Source organism: Homo sapiens, chromosome 7, assembly GCF_000001405.40.
Source record: "Homo sapiens chromosome 7, GRCh38.p14 Primary Assembly".
Classification (NCBI taxonomy): domain Eukaryota; kingdom Metazoa; phylum Chordata; class Mammalia; order Primates; family Hominidae; genus Homo; species Homo sapiens.
In genome coordinates this window covers 90,154,442-90,179,656 of record NC_000007.14, presented here as the reverse complement: position 1 = coordinate 90,179,656, position 25,215 = coordinate 90,154,442, and the positions used below count along the sequence as shown (strand labels likewise).

Genomic DNA, 25,215 nt, shown 5'->3' with positions numbered 1-25,215 from the left:
AAGAATGAAAAGATTGATTTTGTCAAAATGCACTACTGTGAGGAAAGAAACGTGGTTTGCGATTGAATAATAGAGTAAAATACTGGCCTATATTAAAATAGTTGGCCTTAAAGAAAATTCGGAGAGACTAGATTTGGATTGTACATATAAAAACAATATGTTATTTCTCTAGCCTATGTAATATAGATTTAGAAAACTAGTTAAGTATAGAAAGCTTAGGCAATAATGGGCTATTTTGTAGTTGCATTTCAAGTTTTTGAAACAATTTTCATTAAGTTTCACATTAGATTTGCTTTTTGTTAAGTTAAAAAATAAATCTCTAAAAGGAAGAAATGGTGGCTGTTCACTCAAAAGCATATCTCACTATCTTGACTAGTCCATGGGATTTTAATAGTTATTCTGGAAATACTTTTGAAGAGGAACTATCAATGAAGTTTTGCTTAATTGTTAGGGCTGGGTATCTAAAAACTGAAGTGAAACCCAGAGATGGGTCAGGAAGTCGTAGTGGTGACTAACAGAGGTGACTAATGGAGGTGTCAGATTGTTCATGGCCTTCTGTGCCACCAGAAAGAATTTTGCCATAAAGTATTTATGAGCAGTCATTGAACAATGCCTGGATGTGGGTTTTTAAGTGTCTCTTTTCCTAGCACTGTTACATACTCTATTCTTTTGGTAACCCGAAGCAGTCGCAGAACTTACTGAGCTGGTGAGCTCATTAGGCCAGGACTGAAGATTCTGCCAGGCGTGGGGAGATTTGCTTTGTTTTGCACCTTTGGACTCTTCTCCAAGCCTTCCAATGACACAGATGTACATACTTTATCACAAACAGGAGAAAACACGAGAGTATAGAAGGATTGGTGCTGAGCTGTCAGCATGACATGGTGGCACCAGTACTGGCTACAAAGTCAGGAGGCCTGCCTCCCAGCCCTTGTTCTGCCACCCACAAGCTCATGACTCTGGAAAAGTCTCCGTATGCTGGCTTCATTGTCAGTTATCAGGGAGACTTCATAGGGGTTTATAATTTGAAATGATGCTAGTTAGCATTTACAGATATTATATTGGATTACAGATATTAGATTATAGATTATATTACAGATATTGGATTATAGATGTGTAGACATTAGAATGTCTTCGTATAAATGCTGCTTCTTATGAGAGACGGATGCTAGCTGGATTTTAGAGAAGCAGTTGGGTGATGATACATTGGCACCAGCCCATTTATAGCTGGGACCAGAATTATAATTGCCTCTTTCCCTTCAGAACATGAAGCTTTGTGAGAAAAATGATAATTTTAGTACACTTAGCTCACTATTGATGACATCCCTTCTAGCAATACCATCTACTGCCCAGCTTTTTCTAGAGCCAAATCTTAGCAATGTGCATAATCACCTACTTTGTCTCCTCAATTATTTGGAATCAGATTCTTCTTTCCAAAGAAAAAAGTCTGTTTCTTCCTTATGGAAGTTTTTGGGATTTTTCTCTTTATCCTTGGTGGCCTGAAGTTCCATCAAGCTTGCAAAGGCGTGCATTCCTCCCCTCCCTCCTCAGCCCCTTCATCTTACAGAGGTTTTGCTCTGAAGTCTAGTGTCTTTCTCTAGCTCCAAGAAATTTCCCTCCATTATTTATTTGTTTTCTTATTTTATTGCTTCTATTGCATCCTTCTGAAACTTACACAATGGGTATTTGAGATCATTTGGGTCTCTTTTCATGCCCCTTAACTCTTCTTTAAAGTTTTCCATTTTATGAATTTTTTCTTTTGAACTGTGTTCTGGGAGAATCCCTCAGTTTAGACGTTTAGTTCTGTAAATTAATCTTCAGCTATATCTATTTTGGAAATTAGTTTCCCTATTAATATGTAAAGTTTTCTCCTTTTTGGATCCTGGGTGTAAATAGTTAATCACACCATCTTAATTCATAGCACAGTTTTATAATTTGCCCATGTGTCTTGTTTCATTCATTCATTCATTTTTAATTTGTATAAATTTAGGGAATACAAGTTCGTTTTCTTAAATGGTTATATTACATAAAGGTAAAGTTTGGGCTTTTAGTGTAACCACTACCCAAATAACGTACATTGTACCTACTGAGTAATTTCTCATCCTTTACTCCCCTCCTACCCCTCTGAATCTTTTGAGGCCTTAGTCATGAATTCTTTGTCTAGGCCAATGTCCAGAAGAGTTTTTCCTAGGTGTTCTTCTAGGATTTTTTTAGTTTTGGGTCTTAAATTTAAGTCTTTAATCTATCTTGGGTTAATTTTTGTATATGGTGAGAGATAGGGGACCAGTTTCATTCTTCTACATTTGTCAACTTGGTTAAAGATGAGTTGGCTGGAGGTACATGGCTTTACTTCTGAGTTCTCTATTTTGTTCTGTTTATCTATGTGTCCATTTTTATGCCAGTACCATGATATTTTGATTACTATATTTTTGTAGCATAATTTTTTTCTATTTCTTTTTTGTTCTTTTTTTGACTGACAGTTTACCCTGATAGAAAGCCTTGTAATATAATTTTAAGTCGGGTAATGTTGATGGCAGCAGCCGCCTGCCTGGAGTGGTGGCTGCGAAGACACCAGCTGCAGGTGGGGAGGCGCTGCCTTGGCTTTGAGCTTCATGGAGCTGGTGAGAGCTGGGAACAGGCAGAAGCCTCATGCCCTTCCGAATTGGCAGTGCAGAAGCCTCAAGCTTCCCAGGTACAGCTGCAGCCACCCAAGCCACAGCTGTGGACCTGGGCATACCTGTGTTCTTGGGGGCCCAGGAAGCCCCTCTGCCCCCTCAGGCTTGGAGGTGTCTGCTCCCACAGCCTGGCTTCTCCCCACTCCTGGTGCCTGCTCTGATCTTGAAGCAAAATTGAGGCTGAGCCTGGGTGCTGTCACAATCTGGGTGGGTGCACATGCTTGGAGCAGTGCTGACACACCAGACCCCTGCTGCCTTGGCGCCCTTCAGACTTTGGGTATCAACAAGCACGGGAGAGGGTGAGGGGGGTTGCTGAAGGCAGCTCGGCACTGGCCTGCAGTTGCCTCTTGGCACAAACAGCCTGAGTGCTATGGATGACAGCAGGAGGCAGGGCAGAAAGAGGCAGGTCCCTAGTGAAGCCCCACCTTTGAGCCATGGATGGCCTGAATCCAGAGGCCTGGCTGAAGAGCCAGGATGGGAACTTATGGTGCTTTCTCTGGGCTCCCCATGGCCACCCATGAACCAACCACCACCCCTTCCTCCCCTCTGAAGCCCATAAAACCCCTGGGCTCAGCCAGATCAAGGAGATGATCAGATGACTGCCTGTGGAGAAGAGCTACCCACTCCAGGGTCTCCTCTGTCACTCAATAAAGCTCCTCTTCACCTTGCTCACCTCCACTTGTTTGCGTACATCATTCTTCCTGGATGCAAGACAAGAACTCAGGACTTGCCAAATGGGAGGGCTAAAAGAGCTGTAACAAAAACAGGGATGAAATATGCCCCTTGCTCACCACGTTGCAGGCAACAAGAAAGAAAGAAGAGAGAAGGAGAGACAGCTGTGGCCCTTTGGGGATCCCAGACCTAGGAGCTCCCCAAACCAGGGCTGTGCCACCCTCTCTGAGGCTCTGCAGATTCCTGGCATCTCCAAGCTTCTGGGTGCTACCGCATTCCCTGGTGCCAGCTGTGGAAGCTGCTTCAGGTATGCCTGGTCCAGATGCAGCCTCATAGGGAGCTGGCACCCATGCTGGCACCTGGAGCTGCCAACCTTACCACAGCCGGTGTGCCTGGCTGTGCCCAGTGGCTGAACCCCACTCTCACTCACATACCCCTTGCTACTCTGTGCCTGGCTCGTCCTTGGTAGGCATGAGATTTGGGCCAGTGGTGTGAGCCAAGCACAGCCTGCCAGGCCAGGTGGGTGGAATGAGCCCAGTGGGCCTGAGTAAAAACCTGGGGAAATGTGCCACCAGCCACAGAGGTTTTCCGGCTGGCAAAGCAACACCCCAAGGATCTCATGACAGTGTGATGCCTCTAGCTTTGTTCTTTTGGCTTAGGATTGCTCATTTGTTTATTTTACTTATTTATTTATTTTTGAGATGGAGTTTCACTCTTTTTGCCCAGGCTGGAGTGCAATGGCACGATCTTGGCTCACCGCAACCTCTGCCTCCCGAGTTCAAGCGATTCTCCTGCCTCAGCCTCCTGAGTAGCTGGGATTACAGGCATGCACCACCATGCCCAGCTAATTTTGTATTTTTAGTAGAGATGGGGTTTCTCCATGTTGGTCAGGCTGGTCTCGAACTTCCTACTTTGGGTGATCTGCCTGCCTTGGCCTCTCAAAGTGCTGGGACTACAGGCGTGAGCCACCATGCCCAGCTTATTTGTTTATTTTTAAAACTTTCATCCTTGACGCGTGTTCCCATTCTCCCCACCATTGTTTCTATTTAAGATATTTCATATATGTTCTTAAATATGCATGTCTTTTTGTATGCCAAAAGGTATTTTGTTGTTTTCCATGAGTGTTTTTCTTTTTTTAACTTAATAAACAGTGTTTTACTATGCAGAATAGTTTTTTATAGTTTAAAAAATATTTTGTAACTAAACTGGGTGTGGTGATGCTGGTCTGTAGTCCCAGCTGCTTGGGAGCCAGAGGCAGGAGGATCACTAGAGCCCAGGAGTTAGAGTCTAGCCTGAGCAACATAGTGAGATCTCATCCCTAAGAAAAAAAAAATAGTAATAATAGTCTTAATTCCAAGAATCCCAATTGTTTCTGTTTTTTTCATAGCTGTCATATTTTTGCTAATTAAAGTAATATATTCTCGAATACCTCCAAATAAATTATACTTAAAAAGTCTTATTCTGTTGCTGCCATTAATTTTCTTCAAGTTTTAGTTATTCAGTTATTTGAATCAGATGATCCTTTCTAATGATGTTAATTTTCCCCAAGTATTTGGTGATAATTTGATTGTCTGTTAATTCGGGTTCCACTTTTGGTGATAAAGAGGGAGCAGTAGAATGTGTGGCCCGGAGGTCTACTGTATTAGTTTCCTAGGGTTGCCCTAACAAACCACAAACTAAGTGGCTTAATAGAAATTTATTTTTTCACAGTACTGGAGGCTAAAAGTCCAAAATCTAAGTACTGTCAGGCCATGCAACCTCCAAAGCCTCTAGGAGATTATTTTCTTCTTCGAGCTTCTCTGCCTCTGTCTTTTTATTATTATTATTAAGAGACAGGGTGTTGCTCTGTCACCCAGGCTGCAGTGCACTATAGCTCACTGCAGCCTCAAACTCCTGGGCTCAAGTGATCCTCCTGCCTCAGCTTCCCAAGTAGCTAGGACTACAAGTACATGCCATTATGCCTGGCTAATTTTTTATTTTTTTTGTAGATACAGGGATTTGCTATGTTGCTCAGTCTGGTCTTGAGCTCCTGGCCTCAAGCAATTCTCTTACCTAGGCCTCCCAAATTGTTGAGATTACTGATGTGAATCATCATGCCTGGCCCTCTGTCTCTCCTTTCACATGATTGTCTTCTCTCTGTGTCTGTGTGTCTTCATGTCTTCATATGGCATTCTCCTCTCTGTGTCTCTCTCTTCTTCTTCTTCTTTTTTTTTTGAGATGGAGTCTTGCTCTGTCACCCAGGATGGAGTGCAGTGGCACGATCTCGGCTCACTGCAACCTCCACCTCCCGGGTTCAAGCAATTCTCCTGTCTCAGCCTCCTGAGTAGCTGGGACTATAGGTGCCTGCCACCACACCTAGCTAATTTTTGTGTTTTTAGTAGGGACGGGGTTTCACCATATTGGTCAGGCTGGTCCCAAACTCCTGACCTCAAGTGATCTGCCCGCCTCGGAATCCCAAAGTGCTGGGATTACAGGCGTGAGCCACTGTGCCCGGCCATCTCTCTCTTCTTACAAGGGCACAAGTCATATTGGATTGAGAGACCACCATACTCCATTGTAACCTCATTTTGACTAATTACATCTGCAATAACCTATTTCCAAATAAGGTCACATTCTGAGGTACCAGGGATTAGGACTTTAACATATCTTTTTGGGGGGGCATAATTTAATCCATAACTATGGGGAAGTAGTTTGTTTACTGGGTAAACATGGGCTTCCTGTCCTTACCTTGTACTTTTTCCTGAAGCTATTCTGGGAGTCTCCTATTTCAGTACTCTTACTTTAGAGACCTGTACATGACACTTTTTCTTGGTGGCAAATGCTCTAGTCAGACTTCCCTTTTCTTCCTGTGCCTCTGCTGTCACTGTGGCAGTCTTGCTGTACTCTGCTTCTCAGACTCCAATACTGAAGCCATGAGCCTTTCCCAAAGCCTTTTAGCTTTGTTTATAAATGAGATCTGTAGCCAGCTGTGCAAGTCTTTGGGTAGAAGGGTCACTGGCCAGATCTTCTGATGGTAGTCCTTTAATGATTCACCCAATGTTTTCTCGGTGGTTGATTTAGCTTGCTTACTTGGAAAATAATACTCATCTGCGGTTTTCTTAGAAACTATTGCTGCTTTTTGCAATAGCCTCTATTTGAATCTTGTGGTGCAGTCTCTATACTTGTTTCTTTTAATCTGATCTCACTGTTGTCTCCTCTCTCCGAGATGTTTTTTATGTCCTGGAAATTCCTCAAATAATCTGGTCCACTGATGCTACCCTTTTCTGTTTTTCAGTATGCTATGGTGCCTTCTTTAGCCATAGCTTTTCTTTAATTTCAGTGGGATTTCGGTGAAAAAGAAGATGAATCGTATGTGTTTACTTTGCCGTAATTACATAGCATAAGGCGTTGATCTAAACTAGAGGTAATCAAAATTGTTTTATAACGGGCTGGATAGTAAATATTATAGGCTTTGTGGGCTATAATGTCTGTGTTGCAAGTACTCAGTACTGCTGTTGTAGTGCAAAAGCAGCCATAGATAACACGTAAATGAATGCAAGTGGCTGTGTTCCAATAAAATTTTATTATAAAATAGGTAGTAGGCTAGGTTTGGCCTATCCCTGAAACCAGTGGTTCTCAAACTTACCATGCATCCAGAATCTTTGGAAGGTCTTGATAAAAAATAGATCACTCTGCTTATCTCCAGTTTCTAACTTAGTAGGTCTGGGCTGGGGGGTCCCAGGATTTGCATTTCTAGTAAGCTCCTAGATGATGGTGGTACTCCTGGTCTGTGGAGCGTACTTTGAGAATCACTTATCTAAGTCATTTTTGTTTTCTAAATACTACTATCTCAACCATTTATTGATAACACAACCATGTTCCTCATTCATTCATTCATCTAACAATTATTTATTGAGCTTCTACGATGTGCCAGGCTCTAAGTCATGAGAATACTGTCACAAATAAGATAAAATCTCTGTTCTTTTGAGTAGGAGAACCAGACAACCAGGAAACACAAGTACACCTATAAAAGACATAATATGCAGAGTAATGAAAACTATAAAGCCCAGGAAAAGGATACAGGAAAGGAGCTATTTTACGTAGAGTAGTCAGAGAAAGGCACTCTGAAGAGGTGACATCTCAACATAGATGTGAATGATGAAAAAAAACTAATCATGTAAAAACTGAGGCATAGGTAGAACATTCTAGACAGAGGATATAGAGAATACGAAGGGCCTAAGGTAGGAATGAGCTTATTTTTGAAGACACGCAAGAATACCAGTGGAATGTGAGTGGCTTGAGTGAGGTAAAGAGTGGCAGGAGATGAGTTCAGAAAGCGAGCAGGGTCCAGATGTTTTGGGGATTTGTAGACCATGGTAAAGAGCCTGGGTTTTATTTTAAAATTTATGTGAAAACATTGGAGAGTTTTGTGCATAGGAGTGACCGGATAGCATTTACATTTTTGAAGAATTACACTGGTTGCTGGGTGGAAAATATTCTGCTAGTGGTAGCAGGGGATGAGGGCAAGAGTGGGAACAGGAAGACCATTTTGGAAGTTTGTTGCAAGAATCCTAGGAGAGAGATTGCTGTGACTTGGACCTCGATGAGTTTAGTGAGGTTGCAGTTGGATGCAAAACATATTTTGGTGGTCAAGCCCGTAGAATTTGCTGGTAAATGGGATATGGGTATGAAGTAAAAGGAAGTACCAAAGATAACTCCTGAGTGTCTGTCTTGAGCAACTGGGCGAGAATGGGAAAGAAATTAAGATTTTGCCTTTAGAATCTTATGTTTGAGATGCTTCTTAGATATTCAAGAGAAGTTGTCAAAAAGGCAGATGTAATAGGCTGCAGCTCAGGTGAAAGCCTAGGGATATAAATTTGGGACTCATCAACATACTTTTGATGTTTTTTGTTAGGTTGGTGCAAAAGTAATTGAGATTTTTGCCATTGAAAGTAATGGGGAAAAAAGCAATTACTTTTACACCAACCTAATATTTAAGGCCATGAGATTAAAGGAGATGATTACTTCTATTGTGGTTATAAAAAGAGAAGAAAAGGACATCAAAGAGTCAATCTTGCTAACATTGAGATGATAGGAAAGGGAAGAGGAGCCAGCAAATGACACAGAAAAGTCACTCAGGGAGTAGGTTTTCCCAGAAGCCAAGAAAATAAAATGTTTCAAGAAAGAGAGGAATAAACTTGTCAAATATTACTGGGTGAGCAAGTAAAGTGAGGACTGAGATTTTATCACTTGGTCATCTTGACAAGAGAGGTGTAGTGCAACAGTGAGAGATAAAATTGTACAGAATAGAAGAGAGAAAATGGAAGAGGGGGACATAGAGATAACAAATGTAATCAACTCTCTCTAGTGATTTCTGCTGCTGGTCATTCCTGGGTTATATGTACCAAACCTGGGATCAACTAGAAAAGCAAGACCAATTATAAAAACTCTGTGCCTGAAGGTGTTGAGTAGCTAACAAAATGGTGATGGGTAATAAGTCTTGGAGGAAGAAAGAACCCAAGAGAGGTAAACCCAGCACTGAGGTTTACTTTTCCATTAGGGGATTCTAGAAGAGGTAACAGAGAGGTTACAAGTCTTGAACAGTACTTTTAGTAGCCTCAAGAGACTAATGGAACAAAATCTGTAATCCAGAGTATGCCAAGGAGGAGAGCCCTTGGAGCCACTCTCCATCAAGCTCTGGGTCGGAATCTCAGGGAACTTACTCTTAGGAATAAATGTGAACCAGAAGTAGTTCAAGTTTGGCAGGGGCTTAAACCCAATTTTAAGTAAACTCAATTCTTAAAATTGGATTAAGAGATTCCCACATTGTTAGAGCCCCTAACTGGCTGTCTGAAGAAAACACAAATTCTCTCTGGAGTAACATAATGTCATCATAGCTTCAAATTATTTGTATGATTTTAAAAAACTATAAGGTCCAGCACTCAGTAAAAATAACCAGTTCATGTTAGGACATAAAATGAATTAATGAAAAATAAGGAGAAAAAAACCTGACAATAGAAACAGACTCATATGAACTTCAGATGATAATAGATTTACCTTTAAGATTCTTATTCTGCTGAAGGAGATTAAGGACAAGAGTAGGAAATTTGACAGAAAATTGGAAGCTATGAAAACAAATTAAAATTATAAAACTGAGTTTACCTCAGAACTAAAACTAAAAATTCAGTGGATAGATTTAATAACCAATTAGACACAATTGAAGAGAGAATTAAGAAATAGGTAGGATTACCCAGGAGGAAGTATAGAAAAAAAAGAAAATAAAAAGACAGAGTTATAAAATAGGAGATATAATGAGAACATCTAGCATGGGTAATTGAAATCCTGAAAAAGGAGAGAGAAAAATGGGACATCAGCAATATTTGAAAAGATAATGGCTGAGAATTTTCCAAATCTGATAATCGTATTAAACTCCAGGTTCAAGAATGCCTACAAGCCCTAACTAAGATAACTAATAGGAAAACCAAAGTTAACCTCACTATAGCAAAAGTACTGAAAACTAACGCAAAAAAAAAAAAAATTATAAAGTAGCCATAGGGATCTCTTGAAGCAATGGTTAGAATGAGATTTTTTGTCTTTCATCAGAAACAATGAAACTTTCTACAAAGTTCTGAAAGAAAATAACTGCCCTCCTAGATTTCTAAGCATCTAAAATGTATTCTTTAATAATGAAGATAAAATAAAGATATTTTAAGAACAAAAACTTGTGAAAAAAATTTTTTTTTCCAGCAGGCATGCATTACACACTAAAAGGAACACTAAAGATTTTTTTTTTAACCGAAAGGGTAACTGTGTATAAATCTCAATAAATATAAAACCATAATTATAATTTCTATTGAGTTTAAATATATATAGAATTAAAACACATGACAACAATAGCATATATGTCAAAAGGGGGTTAACTGAAGTTAAAGGGTAGACGTTCCTGACATTGAACAAGAAGAGGTAAAAGTGCCAATTAATATTAGACTGCTATGTCAATGATGATATTATAATCTCTAGAGTAACTTCTAAAAATAGTAAGATAAAGTATGCTTGCTTGAGAAGGGAAAACTGAAATAATAAATAATCTCAATCAATCTGAAATGAGGTCATATAAGAGAGAAAGAAAAAAAACATAGAACTAATGAGGAAATGGGAAGCAAATAGTAAGGTGGTATAATGAAGTCCAAATATATCAATTATGACATTAAATATGTAGGCCTATAGGTTGCAATTAAAAGCAAAGATTGCCTGACTGAATTTTTTTTTAAAAAACTAAACTATATACGGTTCTCAAAAGACATCTAAAAACATAGGAAAATAGAAAGGTTGTAAATAATAGGATGAGAAAACATATGTCATGCAAATACTAACCAAAAGAAAGCTGAATAGGTAAATTAATATCAAAGTGGCAAGTATCTATAGTAATTTTGTTTTAAAGGTTAGCAGAGAAATGGGTAGAAACTACAGGGGGACGTTGGTCCAAATTTTTATTTATTTATTTATTTAATCTAATGCTTGAGTATTAATGGGAATAATCCAGCAGAAAGGGGTAAATTGATGACACAAGAGAAATGAGTGCAATTTAAGACCAAAACTCTTTGAGTTAGACATAGACTGGGAGAGGGATAATTTTTCTGTTGTAATATGCAGAAGATATGGGTACCAGACGCATGTACATCAATCAAGAGATTTTGTTGGTGAGAAGATGAACTCATTCTCTTCCAATTGCATCTATTTCCTAAGGAAAATCTACCAACTGGGTATAAGTGGAGACACTATTGTTGATTTTAGTGGAAGGAAGATGTGTAATAGCAGTTTTAATAGGAGAGAAAACAGAGTTCTTATAGAAATACATGAAGATAAGCCAGTACTGAAAGTACTCCCGCCACCAAGCTTGAGCCTCCCTCGAGTTCAGACTGCTCTGCTGGCAGCGAGAATTTCAAGCCAGTGGATCTTAGCTTGCTGGGATCTGTGGGGTGGGACCCACCAAGCCAGACCACTTGGGCTCCCTGGCTTCAGCCTCCTTTCCACAGGGGTGAACGGTTCTGTGTCATGGGTGTTCCAGGTGCCACTGGGGTATGAAACAAATCTCCTGTGGCTCGCTTGGTGTCTGCCCAAACGGCTGCCCAGTTTTGTGCTGGAAACTCAGGGCCCTGGTGGCATAGGCACCGGAGGGAATCTCCTGGTCTGAGGGTTGTGAAGAACGTGGGAAAAGCGTAGTATCTGGGCTGGTGTGCACAGTACAATCCCTAATGGCTTCCCTTGGCTAGGAGACGGAGTTCCCTGACCTTAGTGCTTCCCTGGTGAGGTGATGTCCCACCCTGCTTTGGCTCGCCCTCCTTGGGCTTCACCCACTGTCTAACCGGTCCCAATGGGATGAACCGGGTACCTCAGTTGGAAATGCAGAAATCACCTACCTCCTGCGTGGATCTTGCTGGGAGCTGTGCACCAGAGCTGTTCCTAGTCGGCCATCTTGCCAGCAGTCTCAGATTCCACACTTCATAGGCCATAATTTCTTATAGGCTTCTTTAGACATGTAGTCTATGATCTGAAAAATCACATCAGAATCAGATATTTCTTTTTTGTTGCCATAAAACATTAAATGTAACTCATTAAAATAGTAAATATATCATTTTAACTTTTATTTTAAACCAAAGATAATAAAATCTCTATTGAGCAAATCTTTAAAGAAAATAAACCCCAGGTGGACTCATTTTGTTCAGGAAGGAGAGCTCTGCTTGGAGAAGGAAGGCACTGGGCTCACAGCCAGCTGTTTTCTAGGCGCTGTTCCTTCTACTCCAGGAGGACCCTGTGCGTGTTATAGCATAGTGACCCTCATATCTACGTTCATATCTATAATTATCCAGATATAAGTGTGTTGACCATATCAAAAGTTTTATTTAAAAATTACCCTTTCAAAGGAGCAGGAAAAATACCTTTTCCTTTCCGCTTCCCAAACTATATGTCTTTCATAATTATATTTGTGTACCCTGAAACTAAAAAAACACACTGCATTCCTTAACAACTGAGATGATTGTAAACAGCAATACAATGTACAGAGCACACACTGTTTTTGTTTTGGTTAAAATATCTGCTCCTTCTGTGGAATTTTTCTATCCTGTTTAATGGTATCATTCTTAAGTTATCCAAGCTAAAAGAATCCTAGAAGCTCTGCCCTAAATGCCTTCCTCCCCCTTGTTCCTCATCTTCTATTGTTCATGAATGATGAGAACTTCTATCTTCCTATCATATTTCATTAGCTCTCTTCTTTTATCTTCTTCTCTGTAATGACCTTCATTTGGGAATTTATTGTCTCTGCCCTGGGATATTGCAGTTGTCTCCTTAAATATTTTTGTTGTTTTCTAACTTGTCTTCACCCTTTGCCCCTCACCATCAAATTAATCTCCTGGATAGTCTACAGATAGTTCTTTCTAGAATGCAAATCTGATCATGTTTAGCGCCTAAAATAATAATGTGTAGGAGCTCCCGAATAATGTTTAGCTCCTATTTAAAGTTTTTAATGGCTTCCCTACTCCCTAAAGGGCAAAACCCAAACTTAGTTTCATGTCATACAATGACCTTGACCTATCTATCCTTTGTCTATATGTAATCTGGTATTTCTTTCACATATTCTGTTGCAGCCACTCTAAGCTAGGTCTTCCAACACATCACATTACACCCTGCCCTCCCATTCTGAGGAACTTTTACATACACAATACCCAGCTCAAACAACAGTTTATTTTTTTCTGGCTCAACCTTATACTTTCCTGGCTTTGCTCTTGTAAAGGGAACCGGTCATTTCTTCCTAAGTGATACCAGTACATTTAGAATCCATTGGTGCACTAAAATTTGTCTTCCCCATGACTGCGAGTAGAGACTAGATCATTTCTATCTTGATATATCCTCTGTTTAGCACTGACCTGGCATATGGAATATGCTCTATAGATGTTGGCGAGGTGAGTAAAATTCAAGCTTATACCAGAACATTATAATTGTTCTTTTAAAGACATCTTTTATTGTTTTATTTGGCTCATAACAATATTACCCAACCATTGTAAAAACTTCAGAAAAGCTACAAAGTGTGAATGCTTTAGTTCTTACCAATCTATGAGTAAAAATGGAATCTAGATGTTTTGTGCCTTGCTTTTAAGGCCCTTGTTGATTCCCTTTCTCTTATAACTAGGAATCCTCAAAAAGGTATATTCTGTGTTTCAGAATAGGCCTATTGTTGCTTGTTACCATGGCTAACAAGACAGGGCTCCCATAATCAAGCCAGAACTCGGCTATTGTCCCTGAAAGTTTCACTGAGGTGCCACTTCACCTGCAAACAATTCCAAGCTGCAGCCTCTATAATGTCTTGGTACTAGGAAGGTTGAAACTTGATTTCTCCTTCTCAGTACTGGAGGAGCTGGCACTTTGCCATGCAGGTGAGACTATGGTACTTGACTGCTGCATCTCAGAGCTGGTTGATTACGGAATGACATGTGTCATTAGTTAAGTGGTCCCATAGTATGTTGTTCCCTTGATGAATCTGGTTTGCAATTCTAGAGTCCTAGATTTCTTTTTCTTTTATGCTGAGTTTTTTCTCAAGGGCACTCTTGTCTGCCCTGGCTCCAGTTCAGAATTGCTGCTCTCAACTCCTTTCTTCACTGCCTGCGAATATATCTCTGTATGTCTGAACTCCAATAATGCAGAGTTCAAATTTGTGCCCAAGGAGGTTCCTTATCCCCCATGTAATAATGAATAATCATCCTTTGCAATAGAACAAAAAATAGAAAAACTGGACTCCACTTACTGAATAGCCTAATTGATTTTCCTAATTTGCACGATTAGCTCTATTGTCTTTAGTAATAAATGGCTCACCACTATGAAAGATAAAGTTTGTGATTACTTTTGCTAATTATGAAAAACTTCTGAAGCAAACAGTTGAGTTAGCAAGTCCTGACAGCTAATGTATAATTTGTTCTTTCAGGAAATGTTTTATGTTATACTTTTACCAATGCATTAAAGTAAGTTAAACTGAATTGTACATGACTCAGGTGGAAATTATTGAATTTACTTTTTTTCTCCTGGATAGCCTGAGTTTCATTTTGCCTGGCTGTGTATCTGATATTACTGTGCTGCTTTACTTGTATAGACATAGTCTGAGTGTTTTTGGAGATAGGTGTTCCATGAGTAAAACCTGGATACAGACAAATGAAAGTTCTTTAACAATCGTAAGTAAATGCTTATTACACTTTTGTTGTAGATTCAGATAAAATTATCTTTTCATAGCTAATGATACCTGTATAATGGGTAGCAACAACTGGTATTTCAAAGCCCTTGATTATTTATAATGCTACATAATCTGACAAATCAGATGTGATTTTTTGGTCATGCTTACTTTTATCATAAAGAAAGTGCTAGAGATTCATTTTAAAAAGTTTTTTTGCTTTGAATAAAATCTGCAAGGAAATACAAATATTTCAAACTCATCACATATATACAAAGAGAAACATCAAGATCCTTGAATAATCATTTTATTAACAAATACAAACTTGAAATGTTGGTGATAAAATATATCAATATTGAACAAAAATGTGTGTAAACAGTAATTCTACAACTGGGAACATATCTCAGTTTTGTTAATTTTGGTGACGTCTTCCCAACCATGTCTAATCTTCAGTATCTTCTTCCTCAAGCATGGCAGGAATAGTATGCTTTTAAATATCAGGACAACAATTGGAAGGAAAACAGCTATCATAAAAGTTGGAGGTGTATACCATACAAATTGTTTTATATCTATCCACTTATTCCAGGCAAAAATCAATGCGTGTATTGTGCCCAGTAGAAGGGAAACAATTCCTAGCTTGCTCTGCAAAAGAAAAACAAAATTGGTGAAGATTGGTTCAATAAGAGTTTATCCCATCCTACCTCATCTGGATATGCTCTGTTGCTTGGAAATCCTTTATCTATGATTGTTTTCCTATCACATTTCTCAACAATGTCCATTCACATCTTTCTACTCTTTTTGCCTATCCTCCTCACCTTACTTTTGGGTAATTTCTTGTCTCCAAGCTGTCTAAGTGAACAAAATTCACAGCCTTTCTTTGAAGGCAGGTGATCAAAAACTTTGTCTACTCTTTCTCCACCATTTTGTTCATCCCCTTATGATATTTATTTTTTGTGCTTTGTCTCTTGTGTATTTGTCTTAATTCTGCTTATCACAGGATACCTAAAATCAGGGACTGAGTCTTACTTATAGCAGGATCCCTGCAGAATCAACACAATGATTTGTACATTTTAGATTCTCAATTAAATATAGGTAGATTGAAGATTATAGCAAAAATCAATTTGACTTCAGTGATCTTTATCAGTTGTGAAGGCGACTAATGTGATTCACTCTGATTTTGATAAATGAATAATGAAGTGAATGAACTTGGCCTATGTTTTTAAAAAATCAAATATTCTGATAACATGGAAATAATATGAACAATTTTTTCAATGTCTGCACAAAATAGAGAGATCCAGAGATGTGATGAAACATTTCAGCCTGCATTGGGATGCTTTGTCACTACACAAATAAAGTTGCTTAAAAATAGTTGTTCACCTATGTAATCTCAACGGTGTTCTGACAACACCTCTTTTATACGACTTCTGACCTCTATTCACTTTACTGGAAATGGTCATTAGCCTGCCAGAACAAATCGAACTCACAATTATTCAGGCGCATTCTTAAGTCCCAGTGAATACAATCAAATAGCTAAGTTTGCGTTTTCATATATGAATCTCCAAGGTAACTTGTAGTGTAACCAGTTCTCAGATTTTAAGTGAAACATTTCTAGGTTACTAGTTGAAAAATACATGTCATTGGTTGAAAATTAGTTTTACCAAATGTGTATTGTATACCTATTATGGGCTAGGTATTGTACATATAGTAGAATAGGCTCAGTTGTCAAGATGCAGTCCTAAATTCCTAATGAAGTCTAAAAAGCAGTGTTCATCATATGTGTAACAGGCAGAGCAATGTGTGAAGAAAGCTATTTAATGAGGACCAAAGAACTCCAGTGGTTATCAGGCTGAACCTACAAAATTAGGAAATTCTGTGAGAATGTTGTACCAACTCTAAGCCACACTGGACTAATTCAGATGGAGGCATACTTTCCAAACTAATCAGATGCCTAATAAAGTGTTGGAGTATACGTGTGGACATGTAGAAGGGATAGTTGCGAATGTCTGACCTTGTGGAAATTTCCAAAGATGTCTACCCATAAACGGTAATTGGCAGTGTTCATGACTGAATTAAATTTAGTCCTTTGAATCTTGTCAGACAAGGATCCCAGAGTGATTCTGGCACATCACTCTTCTTATGGATAATCTACCACCAGAAGATAAACCTCAGTAAATCTGAGATATTTTTAAAATTACAAGAATATTTAGAAACTTCAAGTGAGTAAGTATATAAAATGTAAGCTGGAAAAAGCAGCCTTTGAAATGAGACACTAGAATATCTTTGGTAGATAAAAACTCTATTATTTCAAGGAGAGAGTTTTTGTTTCTGGAAAGTGCTAAGTTGTGTAACATAAAAGGCATTACTAAATTCAGGTGACAGGTAAAAGAATATTTTTTTTAAGAAATAATAAACCATGCATATTGGATTCCTAAAATATCACATTAGATGGGTAGCAAATTGTCTAACAAGTTTCAAATATTAGAAAGAGCAGGCTGAGTGTGGTGGCTCACAACTGTCATCCCAGCACTTTGGGAGGCCGAGGTGGGCGGATCATTTGAGGTCAGGAGATCGAGACCAGCCTGGCCAACATGGGAAAACCCTGTCTCTACTAAAAATACAAAAATTAGCTGGACATGGTGATGGGTGCCTGTAATCCCAGCTACTCAGGAGGCTGAGGCAAGAGAATCGCCTGAACCCAGGAGGCGCAGGTTGCAGTGAGCCGAGATCGTGCCACTGTACTCCAGCATGGGCAACAGAGCGAGACTTCATCTCAAAAAAACAAACAAACAAACAAAAAACAAACAAACAAAAAAAAAAAACAAAGAATATTTTAATGCCTTTTATTTATGTCTAGGAAACACTTGTCCTAATTAGAAGCAATAGGGAAAACAACAGGAGAGCACATTATTAATTGGAACAAGTATAAGATCTTTGCTGTTGAAAAACATTTGTTATTTTTTATGGGGTAAAGTCAACATATTCTATATCATAAACACAAAAAGAAGATTTACCTCTTAGGGTTATTTTATATATTATTTACCTGAATATAGTGAAATTCTCTCCATGTCAAAGAGTCACTCACAGATGGAATAGATGTCACAGCCAACAGAGCCAGTATTGCCAATCCCACAATTCCCAGAGACACATAAATCTCCATTCTCCAAACATCATGCTCAATCCAGGCATCTTCTTTATTTTGTTGGACCTACCAGAAGGTAAATAAAGAAAGAAGAAATGCAAACAACAGTTATTTCCTGAATGTGAATCTCCTTCTACACTCTTCCCTGTGCCTACTATGAAGCCCTGATAACAGGTCTCCACAAATTTATGACTTTTTCTTTTTTTTTTTTTGCATTCCTCTAAGACAAATGACATAGGAGCTATCACTTTTTTTCTTGAATGCAACACTTCCATAATCTATTAATTTTCTAATAATTATTTGATGGTTTACTTGGATAGAACTGTAATGTGCATGCATATTGGTAAACAAGGAGAAGAACAACAATATTAAAAAGTAATCTTGTGAGGGTGGTAGAAGTTTGAAATATGGCCTCGTCCATGAACAAAATGTTTCTTATGTTGCTAAAGTTGTACCTTATTTTCAGCCTAAAAAACATTTCTCAATATAAAACCGACTGACAACCAAGCCCTAGTGTAATTATAATAAAAATTTTAAAATAGATGACTTTTTCAACACAGAGTTTCAACAGGGTTGGGGTATTGATATTACAATGAGAAATGATTAATTTGTTAGGTGACTTAGACTTTTTATTAGTAACAGTGTCAACACTGTCATCTTACCTGTTGATATGCCCAGTTTAGCAACTTGTATCTGTAGGATCGCCTCATTGGGTAAGACAGACTATAAATTGCATGCAGTACAGCAAAAAAGAAACTGAGAAGCCCAAACTGCTTTCTTGTTAACATCCACTTATCCAACCAATGTGGAAACTTCTTATACTTGGTTCCATTATGAAGTTGGACAATTGCTGCTATCACACCTGGCAGGTAAACCAATGCCAAGAGAGTGATGGAAACCATTGGCAAGACTTTGTTGATGACCAGGATTGGAATTTTATAAAAATATTGTTGATGGGAAGTTGCTAAAGGGTGAATTACTTCCCTCAGAAGAGTGTAAAGAAAAGTCAGAGATGCTATAATAGCAGCTATTTTAATTGGCAAGTGCCACTGTGGAAAGAGTTCCTGTGTGTGCTGAAGTTCTGAAGGGCAGTCAAATTCATCAGCATGGGCTGTTTGGTGCAAATGCAAAAGCACAGGTCTTTTTAGCATGCTGGTCTCTCCCGTGTCCTTATGCTACAAAGGAAAGAAAATTAACATCTTAAAATTGAACAAAACAATGGGATATCTCTTGAACTAATTACTTATTGCTCAATCATTGTGCTTCTCATTGAATAAGGGCATTCAGAATCTTGCTTTTGAATACTGGTTAGTTGAAGATAGCATAGTCTATGTGGCACTGAAAGACTTTTGTCTTTAGGACAAAAGAAATACATGCTTCAGACAGGTAAGACAGTTAACTTGAAAAATGAAATTATTTCATTTTATGCACATTGTTACTCTTATAAAGTATATGCTTGTAATTTATTAATTACTTTTCCCTATTAAAATTATTAAGATTAAATAAATAATTTCTGCTAAAACTTCCATTGAGATAATTTGGAAGTTTGGAACCAAAATTTCTGCCACTTTTTCAGTCAAAAAATGTAGTAAGAAACACTTAATCCTGTGTTTGACCAAAAGTGGAACAAGTGATTCTTATCCAAAAGTAGATTTATTTGGTTATACAGTGAATCGTCAATTTACTGATCTCTTGGTAAGCTGCCACTGTGTCTATGACAAAAATGCTTGCTTACAAAATTACTGTTATATGGGCATTGATGACTTTTTTTTTTTTTTAACTTAGAACTATAGACTGTTAGAAAGAATTGGAAGGGCCTTGGGGATGATCTGGTCCAAGGCTTTCATGGTATAAACAAACTAAGACCCCAGATTTTCAGTAACTTATTCAAGGTTATTCAGCTAAGTCCCTGACAATCAGTGAAGGTACTATGTCTCTCACATATGCTACTCTGTCCTTCACAGTATCAGTGACGGTAATCCAAGTCCAGATATCAGCAGACTAGGGTGAAAAATCACTTTCATAACACTAGGAGATACAGAATGGCATCTGAATTATGTTTAAAGATGTAAATTATTATTTATTATTGTTATTATTAATATTTTACCAAATAATCGTCTTCTTCTAAATTTCTCCTAGGCTTCATTTTCCAAAGTTCTTCTTGGTTTGTGATGTCTTTTCTGCTTTCCATTAATTCTATAAAATAGTATGGCTTCAGCCACCTGTAAAAATAAAAATAATTACTTTCATGTCCATTCTACTTATGATGTGAATGTTTGATGTAACAATATAAAAAATTTACTTACTTAAAGACTAGAATGGCAGATAAAATACAATAAAAATGGAAATAGTGACTGATTTATACATTTAACTTCATATTATAATCTGTAAGTTTCAAACCAATGCCCTCTTATCAACAGTAACTGCTCTTCTTTATCTACTTATTTGTTCAATGAATAACCCAGGTGCCTGTATGCATTACAAAGGGTCAGATGTTGCCTTTTACTTGAGGAAGATTTAATTTCAGGTTTCCATCTGGAGGAAAGCCAACTCCTTTCAATGGCAAATATAATTAGGAATGTATTATATTGAGAGTAATAATGTCATCAATGGAGGCTGGAGGTAGCTGATATAAGATTTATGTTTAACAGAATTTTGGGGTTGACACTGGAGTCTGAAACAGTATTTTCAGAGTACCATTTTTCTTTTGGAGTAAGAGGTTGGTGCTTGTTTGGAAGATGTGAATTGCTAGTATGTTTCCAGTGGGAATGGTGAGTTGTGCCGAATTAATGATGTGCCCAGTCTTCTGGTCAACCCTGTGGAAAACAACTTTTCAAATTTCTCACTTGATAAAAGAATCTTTTCCTTAGCAAACTCACAGATCCTCATCCAGGATTGGTGTAACATTTTTTAGGGAAAGAAAACATATGTCACAGTACTATTCATTGTTTTTATTAGTTCTGAATTTATTTCCAGAGGAACACATCTTCAATTTACACTTTATGAAATTCAATGAGAAAAACAGATTAGATATACAACAATTTGATTGACAGAAAATATCCCAAGTGTTTCTGAATTTTAGACCACGTGTAGTACTTTTTTAGGTGGAAAGCTGTTTCCAGGAATAGTTTAAAATACAGTGATGTGTCACATAACACTTTGGTCAACGACTGACTGCATATGTAACAGTGGTCCCATAAGAGTATAATGGAGCAAAAAAATTCCTATTGCCTAGTATTTACAATACTATACTTTTTATTATTATTGTGAAGTGTACTCCTTCTACTTACAAAAAAAGAGCTAACTGTAAACAGCCCTAGGCAGGTCCTTCAGGAGGTCTTCCAGAAGAAGGCATTGTTATCATAGAAGATGGCAGCTCCATGCCTGTTACTGCCCTTGAAGACCTTCCAGTGGGACAAGATATAGAGGTGGAAGACAGTGATACTGATGATCCTGACCCTGGGTAGGCCTGGGCTAATGTGTGTGTTTGTGTCTTAGTTTCAACAAAAAAGTCTAAAAAGAAAAAAAAAATTAGAAATAGAAAAAAAGCTTAAGGAGTAAGTACATAAACAAAATATTTTGTATGGCTGTACAATGTGACTATGTTTTAAGCTAAGTGTTATTACAAAAGAGTAAAAACAATAAGTTAATAAAGTAAAATTACAGTAAGCTAAAGTTAATTTATTATTAAAGAAAAAAATTTTTCAATAAATGTAGGGTAGCCTTAGTGTACAGTGTTTATAAAGTCTATAGTACTGTACAGTAATGTCCCAGGCCTTTACATTCACTCACTACTCACTCACTGACTCACCCAGAGCAACTTCCAGTTCTGCAAGTTCTATTCATAGTAAGCGTCCTGTACAAATATACAATTTTTTATCTTTTGTACGATATATGTATGTTTACTATACCTTTTCTATGTTCAGATACACAAATACTTACTATTGTGTTTCAACTGCCCACAGTATTCAGCACAGTAACATGCTATACAGATTAGTAGCCTAGGAGCAATAGACTATACCATCTAGCCTAAGTATGTAGGAGGCTGTACCATCTAAGTTTATGTAAGTACACTCTATGATGTTTCCTCAACAATGAAATCCCGCCTTACAATGAATTTCTCAGAATGTATCCTGTCATGAAGAGACATGACTGTTCTTAAAACATTCTCCAAGTTTTAAAGGTTTAACTATAACAAAGAATAACGAGTTGCTTTTACATATGCCAACATTTACTTTGTTGAGGTACTCTTGGAATATTTTCCAGATATTATCTATTTCAAAATTACAGAACATTCATGATGAAGATATCTGTTGTTTTAGTTTGCCCACATTCTTTTCTGATTTAAAACATTTCCTCCATTTGGAGAAATGCCCTTCCTCCCTCCAATGTGATTTTGGGAGATTGTGTAAAATAGTAACGCTCATTCCCTGGTCACAGAAGTGGGTATATGACTCAGGCCTGGGCAGTTTCCTGTTTTCCCATTGATTGGCTTAGCGATGGCACAGAACCCTACTTAAACCTGGTCATTCTCTGATATTTATATATGGAAGTGGAAGAGAGAGATGAGATGTCTTTAACATTTTGTTAAGATAGCACAGTATAAGCCTGCCATGCTTTTTTCTCCATGCTCTAAGAAGGAACATGTTTTCATTAGAAAAGAAGAAAGCCAACACGGAAGCAGAACAAGAAGCAGAGAAAGACACAGAAGAGTCCTGGCGGCATATTTCAGTATTTAGAGCCCCTGAGACTAGATCCTGAATTTTTCAGTTAGACAGTCAACACATTCCCTTTTTTTTTGGTTTAAGTTAGTGTGATTTGGGTGTTCACCACTGGCATGTAAAAGAATTCTGAGTAAAGCATATGCCAATCATCAAGTATTTATGAACCCAACTCTGTGACCAACATTAAAGAGGAAAAATAGAAATGACACTCATGCCTGCTCTGGAGGAAATGACACTCTATCTCCTTAAGAAGCATTATTCCAAGTCATTTGGTGACTTAACCAACTGTATTACGCTGTTCTCGCACTGCTATAAAGAAATACCTGAGGCTGGGTAATTATTATAAAGAAAGGAGATTTAATTGGCTCATGGTTCCATAGGCTGTAAAGGAAGCATGGCAACATCTGCTTCTGGGGAGGGCTCAGAGGGCTTATAGTCATGGCGGAAGGTGAAGTGGGAGCAGGCGTCTTACATTATCGCAGTGGTCCCCAACCTTTTTGGCACCAGGGACTGGTTTCGTGGAAGACAATTTTTCCAAGTAGGGGAAGGGGGATAGGGTTTTGAGGTGAAACTGTTCCACCTCAGATCATCAGGCAATAGTTAGATTCTCATAAGGAGCACACAACCTAGATCCCTTGCATGTGCAGTTTGCAATAGGGTTCATGCACTTAGGAGAATCTAATGCCACTGTTCATCTGACAGGAGGTGGAGCTCAGGCAGTAATGCTCGCTGGCCTGCCACTCCCCTCCTGCTGTGCAGCCCAGTTCCTAAAAGGACACTGACTGATACCAGTCTGCGGCCACGGGGTTGGGTACCCCTGCACTAACGTGACAACAGCACCAAGGGGGGATGGTGTTAAACCATGAGAAACTGCTCCCATGGTCCAATCACCTCCCACCAGACCCCAGCTCCCTCACTGGGGGTTACATTTCAACATGAGATCTGAGGGAGAGACACAGCTCCAAACCATATCACCAACATAATAGTTTGTGGGGTGGGGGAGGGAGGTGCTAGGAATGGAAGTGTCACCTACTATAATCAAATGTAAGAAATAATTCACTATGTTTAGAAGATCTTTTAACTTTGAGGGTTGCAGTATCGTAAGGATGCTAACAAATCCACCTACATTTATTCAATATGAATTCATTAACTATATTGTGAACAACAATGTAAGGCAGGAGGAATGCAAAGTTAAATGAGATAAAGCCTCTGCTCTGAAAAACCTTGAGGTCTAGGAGAGAAGGCAGGCATTTCAACTGCATGGTAGAGCGATGTATCCTAGAGGAGGATAAAGTTTTACAGGCAGATGGTGGCATGGGAAGGGAAGTAGAGGAAAAGGCTCAGCGCTGTCTTCTAGACCCAGTCCTGGGGTAGCTAGCAGGTTGGCAGTGTTTGCTGACTGATGGCCACTACAAACGGAGTCTGGGTGGAAAACCAGAGTGGCCCTGGAGAGTTACCCAGCCATTTGTCTGCATGGTAAGGAGACCACACTCAAGAGCAAAGCCAAGGAAAAGCCCATGACAGTGAGGAAGCTTGTTGACTGTGTGGCCCACAGTCAACTCTATGCCCATAAGCCAGGAAAATAAACTATGAGTCAAATAAATTTGTTGGTTTCCATCAGACATTAACCAAAATGAAATTTAAGTTCTACAGTAAAATCTTTTCATAAAAAGAAAAATAACAGAAAACAACCTGGTGTTAAAATGTTAGGAACTCCAGAATTCGACCCAAAGTTCTCTTTCACCCCCTTTTAAAAAAAGTGAAGCATATTTCTAATGCGACTGCTGTTTTGCTGTACCAGGATGGCTGCCCTGGTGTTCCTAAATGTTGGCACAGCCCAACTTACTCATGTTTATGTCCCGCAGTTGAGAATATGAAGAAACCCAATGCCTGGAATACACTGTGGGTTGCATTGCATTTCCAACCTTTTATACTTTCAAGTGCACACTTGTTTTACATTTAACTAAGTGAAGTCGAGTTTTTTGTTTTTTTTTTTCACTGGGCTGTTTTTAAGCATTGCTTTCCCTCTGTGCTTAACATTCATGTTAAATGAATAACCTTTTATTACACGTCAGGATGTGGAGGGAAATGTATTTTACAAAAGTAACAAAGTAAGAAATTTGGAAGTGTACAAAAAATTTATGTCTACAAACACCTTCCAGTGGATTTGACCAGAATTACATATTTAAAGCCTTGATTGACTATTTTGGAGGGAACCTGAACCCCACCCAGATCCTGAAAGAGTAGGGCCAGTGTTCTAAGGACTAAAAATGAAAACCTCTGTTACCAGGAAACCCGAAGACGAGAAGTAGCACGATTTTAAGTACTGTGCACCAGTCATTCGTCAATGCACAGCAAACTCTGGCAACTTTGCCACGTTAAAAAACTTGCCATCAAAATCCAACCTGAGCACAAACTTAATAATCTACCACAACCTTAAGCCCCTAGCGAAAAGGCTTCCTGTGAGTCCCTGGCTCTCCCCAACCCCCGGCCCGGCCACAACCCAGCTGGGCTGGAAGGCAGCGCGCCCCAGAGCCGCGCATAAGCGGAGAATTGAGCAGCGCTCGCCCAGGAGGGCCGCTGTCCAGGTCACGAGAAGGCTTGCGACCCGCTACACCCCTCCCAAGACTGGGAGCGGGCGCCCAGCCTTGCAGGGACACGCGGGCGGACTCGAGGAGCAAACGGCCAGTGAGAACGATTCAAGGGACTCACCCACTCTTCGCCTTAGCTTGACCGTGAGTCTCGGCTGCCGCTGCTGCCCAGAGGTGCGGGCCCCACGCGGCGCCTGAGCCTCCAGAGCGCGGAGCCTCCAAG

The 25,215-nt window shown here is 39.0% G+C and overlaps 1 protein-coding gene and 1 long non-coding RNA gene across 2 annotated transcripts in view, besides 3 other annotated features; one reads left to right on the top strand and one right to left on the bottom strand.

Moving 5' to 3' along the window:
- The window catches only part of STEAP2-AS1 (STEAP2 antisense RNA 1), a 329,283-nt gene that overhangs the window by 31,979 nt on the left and 272,089 nt on the right, over nucleotides 1-25,215 (top strand). The window lies entirely within an intron of this gene.
- Nucleotides 644-693: an enhancer, noted in NCBI's record as "active region_26243". NCBI's record gives its function as "activates an Ori minimal core promoter by ATAC-STARR-seq in GM12878 lymphoblastoid cells {active_cell/tissue: GM12878}" and the evidence as "EXISTENCE:reporter gene assay evidence [ECO:0000049][PMID:35858748]".
- Nucleotides 704-763: an enhancer, noted in NCBI's record as "active region_26242". NCBI's record gives its function as "activates an Ori minimal core promoter by ATAC-STARR-seq in GM12878 lymphoblastoid cells {active_cell/tissue: GM12878}" and the evidence as "EXISTENCE:reporter gene assay evidence [ECO:0000049][PMID:35858748]".
- Nucleotides 6,237-6,326: an enhancer, noted in NCBI's record as "active region_26241". NCBI's record gives its function as "activates an Ori minimal core promoter by ATAC-STARR-seq in GM12878 lymphoblastoid cells {active_cell/tissue: GM12878}" and the evidence as "EXISTENCE:reporter gene assay evidence [ECO:0000049][PMID:35858748]".
- STEAP1 (STEAP family member 1) lies at nucleotides 14,830-25,188 on the bottom strand. Its single transcript, NM_012449.3, has 5 exons — nucleotides 25,114-25,188; nucleotides 19,785-19,899; nucleotides 18,340-18,852; nucleotides 17,579-17,743; nucleotides 14,830-15,180 (listed from the first exon to the last, which is right to left on the bottom strand). The coding sequence occupies exons 2-5, from the start codon at nucleotides 19,866-19,868 to the stop codon at nucleotides 14,923-14,925; spliced, it is 1,020 nt and encodes a 339-aa protein (NP_036581.1). The 5' UTR covers nucleotides 19,869-19,899; nucleotides 25,114-25,188; the 3' UTR covers nucleotides 14,830-14,922.